Here is an 11,670-nt window from a genome sequence, read left to right as displayed (position 1 = left end):
GCTGCTCTAGGAACATCAATTTATCTTTCGTCTTTTTATTTACTTTATTTAAAAGACTATAGTATCAGTATTGACTTAATTCTCTAATGTGCTGTGAATAATGTGTCATTCTTTCAATGTATTTAAGTATACATCTACCTTCACTGTAGACTCCATGACTGTGTCTCACTCCAGGGAATTTTCTTTTTATAATGTGGAGAAGAAGAATATACATTCCCACAGGGAAATCTTTCACTAAAGATTTAACTGTTTGGCATTGTTGATGCAAAACAAACGTTAGCATGAAAGCTTCACATGACACCACTAGTGGAGCTTAATGGCATCTAATTAATGAACCAGGTGCCGAGGCAGCCTCTCCACTGCCTAATTCTTTGTGGATAACATGTTGTATAAAATAATTTGGCTGTGCAATCTTTTTTATATACCCTATCTCATCTTCATAACAACTGTCTAAAATAAACTTTATAATCTTTCTTTGACAGAATAAGACATTTAATCTCCAAGGTAGGTTAAATTGTCCAGTGCTACAGAAAATAAAGACAGTCAGAGCCAGCATTTGAATACAGATCACTCTAAATTCATATTTCCCCTTTCCACCTAGCACTGCCTCTCCAGCAAATCTGTTTTCTAGCTCAAAACGGTAGTTCGACATTCAGATTAACCACCTGAATATTTAGAATGGCAGTCCTTAATAAACAATGAAAATCCAACTCAGTTGAATCACCAGTCTCTTCATAAAGCGACACAAGATAATATTAATAAAATATTCACCAAGATGTCAGAAATCTCTCAGTTCTGCTTTGCTGGGCTTTGAACACAGACCTAATGCAAACTTGTAGCCAGGTAAACATGCTAGAATATTGTGTAGACATGATAGAATATTATGGAGCTATTAAAAATGTCTGTGAATAAGAGTTTTTAATAACATAAGAAAATGCTTATGAGACTTGTAGTGGGTTGAATGGTGGATCCCAAAAGGATATGTTCTTGGCTCCTCATCCCTAGAACCTGTGAATGTGACCTTATTTGGACAAAGGATCTTTTCAGATGTAATTAAGATCTTAAGGATCTTGAGATCCTGTATTACCTGGGTGGACCCCAAATCCAATGGCAAATGTCCTTATGACACTTATGACAGAAGAGAAGACACAGACACAGAGGAGAAATCAGTGTGAAGACCAGGCAGAGATCAGAATGACATGGCTTCAGACTGAGGATGCTGTCGATCATCAGAAGCTGGAAGAGGCAAACAATGGATTCTCCCTAGATCTTCTAGCGGGAGTGCTGTGGCCCTGTCCACACGTTCATCTCAGACTTATGGCCTCCAGAACTTTGAAAGAATAAATTTCTTTTGTTTGAAGGCACAGAGTTTGTACTAATTTTTTTCAGCAACCACAGCGAACCAATACAACATGCTAAGTGAATCAAGTAGGACATGAAAAAGTATTTCCACTATAATTTCAACTATATGAAAAGATATATGGGAAATTTTAAAAGAAACCCATCAATATGTTGGCAGTGACTGCCTGTAGGTGATAAAATTGTAATAGCCTTGTTATTTGCTTGTTTATAATTTCTGTATTTTTCAAATTTTCTAGAATGACTGTTATGTAAGGAAAAGTCTTAGGACAACAAGGAGACAACATAGCTTAAAGGTTAAGACTTGTGGGCGCTGGAACCAGAGGAACTACTTTTAAAAAGACCTGCTTCTTAATAACTATGCATCTTGATGATCTCTTTGTTTCTCAGTTTTCTCATGTGAGGAATAATAAAATCGACTTAAAGATTATTTGAGGATTTAGTGAATAATACTATATTTTATCTATTCTGAAGAGAATATTTTTTCACACTTTAACTGATATTGCGCCATGACTTACAATTGATTGTCTTACAATCACAGAATTGCTGTTGCTTACACATGTAAACTTGGCTGTCACTTTTCTTGCAGTTGTTTCATCAGTTGAATTATATACATTGTGGTGCCATACAATTTGAATTTAATTACCATTTAAAGTGCCTTAAAAATTACATTGATTCACCATGGAAACAAACATTACTGTGTATGGACAATGGCATCGAAGTAGAGCAGGAGGGTTTAAATTTGATATTTAGTAAAGCAAGTATTTGTTCCTGAAGGAAAGACTGCAATTCCACTTATTCATGCAAAACAACCCAAAGAGGAAACTGTGTTATATTTTGTGACTGAGGTATGAGCGTATCGTATACCAGCCAATGGCAAAGAAACTGTGTAATCTTAAGACTATATAAAAAAGAATTTCAAAGTGATGAGAGGCTGGTATGATCAATTCATGCCTTGTGTAGAACCATCATTAAAATGTCAAGCACCAATATGTCAGAAGTTTCCTATTTACTCTAGAAGTTGCTTAACTTTCAACGACATGTGGTTCAATTGGAGAAAAAAAAATTATGTCTTGTTTGTGTTATAGTTTAGTGAGCAGTTTTTCAAAAAAAGTTATTTCTTAATGGTACATAGGGAAATGGTGCATCTTACAATCAATAACATCTCAATTTCAATGAAATATGATTCAAGGAAATGCTTTATCACCATGCCCAAAACTTGGTAAGTACTTCCTAAATTTTAGTTATATAAGTAAGCAGGAAGAAAAGCCAATTATAAAGTTGTATGTGTAACTATCTCACTGTAAAAAAAAATCACCCAAGATTCAGAGGGAATATATAAAAACACAAGTGATATCTTTTAGATTGGTTGGTTGGTGGATGTTTTTTCTTTCTTTTTCAAATTGTTAGACTTATCATTTTCTCGTAATTAAAAAAATTTAATCAAAAAACGTATTTTGTAAACATGGTAAAAAAATCCCAACAGTTTAAATTGTACATAGAGAAAATGTAAATCTCTCTCCCATCCCAGACCCCATTTTTGTTTTCCTAGAAGCAATTACTGATTTCATTTTCTTATATAACCTTCTTGAATTTTTCTATGTATAAACAAGCATATGTGTGTATGTATGTATGTTCATAAACACACTTTATTCTTATACAAATGAAAGTATACTTTACATGCAATTCTCTAGTTTTATTTGGACTGTAATGTCATAAATAGTATGTTGTTCCATAGCCCATATAAATCTTAATTCTTCTTGATATCCACATAGTATTAGTATCCATCAGGATTTAGTACAGGAAACAGAAATCACTCTAGGTATTTCAGATAGAAAGGGATTTAAAACAGGAAATTGGGTACTCACAAAATTGTGGATGGGTTCATGAAGCAGAAGACAGGGGTCTCCTACTGGATATTGATTTTAAGGGCACACTGCTGCGATCCACAGGTCAGCAAATTGCTGCTGCTTCCACTGCTTGAGCCCCACAATTGCCTCAGTTCCCCTGAAGCTGGTGACTAGACACTGACTGCTACATCTAGGGAGATGCCTCTAGGTTATGACAAAGCTGATAACTAGACACTGGAGTGCTGAGTCTAGCTGCAAACACTAATGAGCTTGCAGCTCATACAAAGGAGGCCTCCATTTACTTCCAACTTCCAAATATCACACATATGTTTCCCATTGGTGGCAGCAAATTCTCACCCAGAACTCTAGCTGCAAGAGAATTTGAGAAAACTGTTTCTTCCTGTGGGCAGGAACATAGAAAGGTGTAGAAATATATGCTCAGTGCTAATTCACCATCAAAAGCATAGTGCCCCACAGTACCAATGCACTATAAATGACTTAACTGGCCCCCAACTGTGGGAGTGGGGTGTGTGTGATACATAGACCTATTATAGAACTTTCCTATTACAAACAATATGCCAATAAGTATCAGTCTAAATATGGCTTTGAGCATGTGTCATAATACAATACATTCTAAGAAGTAAAATTGGTGATGTTATACTTTGTAGACATCTTTACATATTAAGTAATAAACTTATTATGAAGTAAAACTGGTGGCATTATAAGTTAGATGTAGACATCTTTACATAATAAATAATAAACAAAAACTCACCCCACACTAGCTGAAACACAAAATGGCATTAGTAGCTCAATGATGTCCACAAGGATATATTTAAAAATTTTTAAATGTTTAATCATGTAATGTTTTAAATCATACAGAAGGGTGCCCCACATCCCCATTTGCTCTCCTATCTCTGTGACATACAGAAATGTTTTAGAAATACCTTTATTCCTCTATCTTAAAACCTAAACGAAAGCCAGGTTTATAGTTTTATGCCTCCTACCAAAATCTCCGCCCCACTGTGGCTTCACTGTGTTTAATAGGCCTGCAGTGAGGACAGAACAAGAAGGGGTGTGGCCCACAGTTCAGAGCAAATGTAACTGGGCCACCAGCGGACGGCATCTATGAGCTCAGTAGTGCACCATTCTTACCACCTGTACCACCCAAAGCAGGCGTAACAATAATTAGCGTTCTTGGAGTGCTTGCCAGAGGCCAAGCTTCGTTCCTTCATTTAATCCGCAGGATGACTCTCTGAGGAACAGGCACCATTATGATCCCCATGTACAAATAAGGAAAGTAATCCTTAGAGAGGTGTTGAACGTGCTCAAGGTCACAGGGCTTGTTTTTTCAGGAGCCTGGATTTGAATCTCAATCATCTATCTCCAGAGGCTGTCCTTGCCATTCTCCTAGAGTGTGGATTTGTTCTTTCTTTCAGGACTAAGCAATAATTCATGAAACATGAATCTGTCTGAGGTGAGGGAACTCAGATATTTGGTGTAGTCAAAAAAGATGGAATCCCAACCTTAGGAAAACCCACAACATGTTCTATAGCCACAGACTCTACCTCACGTCAATGTGTTCTCATTATGATAACAAGCAGGAAAGTGACTGCAGATTAGAATAAATCTACTACTGGAAAAGCAACGCATAGTGCACGTATATATTCATTTAGTCAGCTAGCCAGCCAGCCAGCCAGCCATTCATTCATTAACTGGCTGCTACTCACAGAATACTGTAGGTCTGTGGGGACTAAGAAAATAATAGAAGTTACAGTCTCCCTTACACCCTAAAGGAATTTACAATCATATTAGAAAGAATAAATACATATGAAAAATTTAAGCAATTACCATACGAGACAGAACAGTATCTTTGTAACGTCCTTGTGAAATTTAAAAACTTACACTTTAATTTTTAAATATAATTTTTATGTAATTTTTTCCTATCATACTCACAATCCACAGTTGTAACTACAACTGTGGTTGTGAATATATTAAGGTTTTAAAACAATTAGAGTAACTTTCGCAATCTATCATGACATACTCAGTTCAACCTTCAGCTCCATGAAAATTATATGTACCTTTAATCCTAGTTCTAATTTCTACTAAAAACAATGATTTTTTTCAAAAAGTTCCTGTTAAAATGATTTTTAAAAAAATAGGCCGGGCGCCATGGCTCATGCCTGTAATCCCAGCACTTTGGGAGGCCAAGGCAGGTGGATCATGAGGTCAGGAGTTCAACACTAGCCTGGCCAAGATGGTGAAACCCCGTCTCTACTGAAAATATAAAAATTAGCCAGGCATAGTGGTGGGTGCCTGTAATCCCAGCTCCAGGAGGTGGAGGTTGCAGTGAGCCAAGGTCATGCCACTGAGCTCCAGCCTGGGCGACAGAGTGAGACTCCATCTCAAAAAAAAAAAGAAAAAGAGAAAAACAATGAAGGCCCTGCATCCCTTGATTGAAACTGAAGGCAAATATTCCCTCTCCCAGCAGCCAGTGCACTCAGGTGGGTTGAAGGTAGAGTGAACATGACCCAGTTTTGGTGAATTGGATGTCCCTATGTGAGGTGAGGTTCAGAGGATGGCTCAGGCTGGGTGGCCAGTGCCCAGGATTGCGGAGTCTCACAAGGTGGCAGTGAGTGTCTAGTGGTTGCATCCCAAGCAGACCATTACTGTGATGTGATTGTGACTGTAGCTTGACCCTACTGGTCCCTATCCATTTTTTCAGCCTCGTTTCAGCAGGCCTACCAGCTCAGCTCCAATAATAAATTCGTTTTGTTTTTAGCCTAAGTTAGCCAGAATCAGTAGCTGTTTGATACCACGAATCAAGAGGAATAGGAGTTTCAGGAACCTTGGGGCAGGCATTCGAGGGTGTTGAGTGCAGTGGTATCCCTAGTGGCAATGGTGGCTGCAGCTGAAAGAACTGTGTAGGGTCTCCACGATGGACAATAGTAACAAGAGCAGAGGCGCTACGCTGCCTTGGGCAGGTCCTTGAGTGCCACCCGCTTTATGGGGAAGTGCTACGCTGACGTATAAAGAACACTGAATTGCTTAATGATAGGGATTTAAAAAGAACACTGAAGGCCAGAGGTAGTGGCTCACGCCTGTAATCCCAGCACTTTGGGAGGCCAAGGCAGGCAGATCACCTGAGGTCAGGAGTTCGAGACCACCCTGGCCAACGCAAATCCCCATCTCTATTAAAAATACACAAAATTAGCTGAGTGTGGTGGTGCACACCTGTAATCCCAGCTACTCGGGAGGCTGAGGCAAGAAAATCGCTTGAACCCAGGTGGTAGAGGCTGCAATGAGCAGAGATCGTGCTGCTGCACTTTAGCCTGGGCAACAGAACAAGAATCTGTCTCAAAAAAAATCAAACAAAAAAAAAAGGACACTGAAGCCTCAATTTTAATTCAAGCATTGCCGCACTGCCTTTTAGGCCTCCGTGTCCTTTTAGGCCTGAGAGTCTCATTCATACCCTGCAGTGATGAGGATGGAGCACTGATAAGAGCCCTCCCTGTGTTATGGTTCTGTAAGTCTCCTCTATCATTCCAGACAACTAAGGTTGTGATTTTCTTTTCTTATTTTTTTTTGGAAACAGGGTCTCACTCTGTCATCTAGACTGGAGTGCAGTGGCAGGAACATAGCTCACTGCAGCCTCAACCTCCTGGAATCAAGCGATCCTGTTGTCTTAGCCTCCCATGTAGCTGGGACCACAGATGCATGTCACCATACCCAGCTAAGTTTTTTATTTTTTTGGTACAGATGGGGTATCACAATCCTGGGCTCAAGTGATCCTCCCATCTTAGCCTCCCAAATGCTGGGATTACAGGTATGAGGCACTGTGCCTAGCGCAAGGTTGTGATTTTTAATTTATTTAATTTATTTTTTGTGCAATAAATATCTATAGGCTGCATGTTCCTAGTAATAAACAATGAAGTTTTAAATTGCTGACATAATTTGCTTTCCTAATGCTGAGATGTTTACTTTCATCAAAAGATCTGAAGAAAAAATAATTTCTATGCTACTGTGTAATATTATCTTAAATATTTGTTTTATTAAATTAAAATTAATTTTTAACAAAATAATATTAAATACTAGCAAATATGTTCTTCAATGCCATCTAAAGATTATTTCTATTATACTAAGAAAATAATACAAGTTACAGTCTTCCTTACACCTTAAAATAATTTAAAATCACTTTAGAAAGAATAGATAAATACATATCAAAAATTTAAATTACAATTAGAGTACAAGACAGAACAGTATCTAAAAATTCCTAAAACAGTAATTTTGAATGTGTATGAAAAATGTATGAAGAATGTATTAGTCAGGGCTCAACAGAGAAATAGAATATATGTGCGCGTATGTGTGTTTATGTGTGATATATATATGTGTGTGTGTGTGTGTGTGTGTGTGTGTGTGTGATATATATATATATATATATATATATAGACAGAGAGGGAGAGATAGAGAGAGATTGATTTTAAAGAATTGGCTGAAATGATTATGGAGTTTTGAAGGCTGGCAAGCCCAAAATCTGGAGGGTAGGCTGGCAGACTGGACACCCAGAGAAGAGTTGCAATTGGAGTCAGAAGACATTCTGCTGGTAAAATTCCCTCTGCTTCAGGGGAAGTCAGTCTTTTTTCTCTAAAGGGTTTTTCAACTGATTGGATGAGGCTGACCCACATTATGGAGGATAATCTGCTTTACTGGAAGTCTGCCAATTTACATATTAATTTCATCCAAAAGTACTTTCATAGAAGCATCTAGAATAATATTTGACCAAATATATGGGTACCGTAGCCTAGCCAAGTTGACACATAAAATTAATCACCACAAAGATCTCACATATGGTGAAGTGTGAAAAAGCGTAGTGTGGAGAGTAAATGCCATCTATCATCGAGAGAAAGGAAGAGGGAGGGTGTCATGGAAACGGTGTGGCTTATGCTGTGCCTAGGGATAGGTGACGATGACAAGAGCATCTGTCTTTCTCACCATTCAGATAGTGAATGACAGGGATGTAGGTAAGTATGCTGCTAGCAAGGAAGATTCTTCCAGCTCTTTCTTCCCACATCATTCTCAGTGAGTGGCCACTTACCTTCCCTATGAGCCCATCTGAAACCTAATTAATTACTTTAGATGAACTTAGACCTATTACAAATCTTTTAGAACAAAACAAGACGTTATTAAGCCAAGATAAACACAGCTAACATTTATTGAGTACTTCTTATATGTATAGCCACTGAACTAAGTGTATTATCTAATTTAATGAACACAAGACACAACAATGTAAAATAGGTGCTACCGTTACCCCCACTTTATTGATGCAGAAGACTGAAGCTCAGAGAGGTTAAGTCATTTGCCCTAAATTACACAGCTAAGTCCAGGAGAAGCCAGGATTTAAATCTAGGCCTGCTTGATGTAAGAACTCATGATTTTCACCACCAAACTGGATATTAAAAAAAAGAGGAAAAAAGTGCTAACAAGGTAAGAAATTGCCAATGGTTTAAATTTATCTTTGTTTGGATTCTCCCCAAAGCAAACTTGAGATAACGTTTTGAATGTACGTAAACTCATCTGAGATGTTATTCTGGGAAACACAGTGAGGGTGTGAGGAGGTAGACAGAGAAGGGAGGGCAGCTGACAAAAAGAGTATTAACCAATACATCACTATGTAAGCTCAGTGCCCTGGAACTCTCCAAGAGACTGCAGAACATGGCTCAGAACTGACCTACCAAGGGCAAGGAAGCCGGCATTTATTTATTTATTTATTTATTTATTTAGAGATGGAGTCTTGCTCTGTCACCCTGCTGGAGTGCAGTGGTGCCGTCTTGGCTCACTGCAAGCTCCACCTCCCGGGTTCACTCCATTCTCCTGCCTCAGCCTCCCGAGTAGCTGGGACTACAGGTGCCCTCCACCACGCCCGGCTAATTTTTTTTTGTATTTTTAGTAGAGACGGAGTTTAACCGTGTTAGCCAGGATGGTCTCGATCTCCTGACCTCGTGATCTGCCGACCTTGGCCTCCCAAAGTGCTGGGATTATAGGCGTGAGCCACCGCGCCCGGCCGGAAGTTGGCATTTTAATCCACCGTTGTTCCTAAAGATGTTCATTCCACACTTTTACACTGTTGGTGGGAATATAAATTAGTTCAACCATTGTGGAAGATAGTGTGGCGATTCTTCAAGGATCTAGAACCAGAAATACCATTTGACCCAGCAATCCCATTATTGGGTATATACCCAAAGGCATGTAAGTCATTCTACCACAAAGACACACGCACACTTATGTTTATTGCAGTACTGTTTACAATAGCAAAGACATGAAACCAACCCAAATGCCCATCAATGATAGACTGGACAAAGAAAATTCCATATACACTATGGAATACTATGCACATAAAAGGAATGAGATTACGTTCCTTGCAGGGACATGGATGAAGCTGGAAGCCATCATTCTCAGCAAACTAACACAGGAACAGAAAACCAAACACCGCATGTTATCACTCATAAGGTGGGAGCTGAACAATGAGAACATATGGACACCGCGGGGAACAACACACAACAGGGCCTATTAGGGGATGGGGGACAAGGGGAGGAAACCTAGATGATGGGTCAATAGGTGCAGCAAACTACCATGGTGCACGTATACCTGTGTAACAAAATTGCACGTTCTGCACATGTATCCCAGAACTTAAAGTAAAATAAAAATTAAAACAATAATTTAAAAAAATGTTTGTTCCCTGGCACTTCTGACCTGTAGCGCACATGGGCTGAGCAGGAGGTACAAGCATTTCAGGAAGCACTTGGTGTTTACAAGAACAGGTCCCTGAAATTACAAATGACCCATGAGTTGGGCCCATGGATATAGGTGGGACTATGATTGATAACAAGATACAAATTAATTAAAACAATTAATAACCAGAAACTTTTCCTTGTTGTGTTAGAACAGTTTATTTCGTAAATAAATAGATTTCTGCTTCAGTGAAATTGTATCATAAAATAGTTTTCATCCTTTAAATTCTCAATTTAAGGAATGCTTGTAATATTACAAAAAAAAAGAAAAAACTTAAAATGATATCCATTTCTAAGAATATGCCAGAATTGATAAAAATTCACATATTAAAAAAAATTTGCAATGTTAGCCAGGCCAACCCAGCATTTCTCTGGAGAATCACCAACCATTGTCACATAAATAATTGCTGCTGTTCCTCGTGCTGGAGACACACAGCTATGTGTGTGCATGTAATTGGGCCACTGCTACAAATCTGAAAGCCTGCAGCTGTTCTGGAGGATAGGATACTTCCCTGTCTCTTTGAAGTGCCACCCCAATGACGTTTCAAAATGAATTGTGTGTGCACCCTTATGACCTAATCTTTTTTTTTTTAATGCATCAGGCCTTCCCAAACATACTCCACAATCCGTTCAGCTGTACTTTTGTGATAAAGTGATAAACAAGCAAAGACTCCATTTTATTTATATAGGTAACAAACTGGATTTCAGAACTGAAATAAACTAAAGTAGTAAACAGCCAAACCACAATTTCCCCAAAGGACAAGGTTTAGAGCTATTTTAAAATTGTTTATTTGTGTTCTTATCATGTGACTATATGTTCTAATTGATTCTAAGTCATGGGTTCTAATAGATGTTTTCCACACACTGCTTGTAGTGAAGGAGGAGGAGGCCCAAGCCCCTTCCTTTTAATTTCTTTTTTTCTTTCTTTTTTTTTTTTTTGGAGACAGGGTCCTGCTGTCTTGCCCAGGCTACAGTGCAGTGGCGTGACCTCAGCTCACTGCAACCGCTGCCTCCCAGGTTTGGGTGATTCTCCTGTCTCAGCCTCCTGAGTAGCTGGGATTACAGGCACCTGCCACCACACCCAGCTAATTTTTTTTTTTTTTTTTTTGAGACTAAGTCTCGCTCTGTTGCCCAGGCTGTAGTGTAGTGGCGCAATCTCGGCTCACTGCCACCTCTGCCTCCTGGGTTCAAGCAATTCTCCTACCTTAGCCTCCCCAGTAGTGGGATTACAGGCATGTGACACCATGCCTGGCTAATTTTTTGTATTTTTTTTTAGTAGAGATGGGGTTTCACTGTGCTGGCCAGGCTGGTCTTAAACTCCTGACCTCGTGATCCGCCCGCCTCGGCCTCCCAAAGTGCTGGGATTACAGAATGAGCCACCGTGCCTGGGTTAATTTTTGTATTTTTAGTAGAGACAGCGTTTCTACTAAACTAAGTCCTGACCTCAGGTGATTCATTCCCCCATCGGCCTCCCAAAGTGCTGGGATCACAGGCATGAGCCACCGCACTCGGCCTCCTTCTTTTTAATTTCTGAGTGCTGTGTTATGACTTCATAGTTAATGAGTTCAACAGAGATTTTAGATTGACTTTTTTTTTTAATTCTTTATGGGAAAATGAGCAACTTGTCACAGAATTTTTAGAACCATCTTCCAGAAACATGGAGAGTTTGTAAAGAG

General features: G+C 39.0%; 1 annotated feature.

The window, feature by feature from the left end:
* Window positions 10,403-10,603: a silencer, noted in NCBI's record as "peak5405 fragment used in MPRA reporter construct". NCBI's record gives its function as "represses an SCP1 promoter by STARR-seq MPRAs in K562 erythroleukemia cells {active_cell/tissue: K562}" and the evidence as "EXISTENCE:reporter gene assay evidence [ECO:0000049][PMID:32103011]".

The sequence above is a fragment of the Homo sapiens genome, chromosome 5 (assembly GCF_000001405.40).
Source record: "Homo sapiens chromosome 5, GRCh38.p14 Primary Assembly".
NCBI lineage: Eukaryota > Metazoa > Chordata > Mammalia > Primates > Hominidae > Homo > Homo sapiens.
This window is presented reverse-complemented; position numbering and strand designations above follow the sequence as displayed.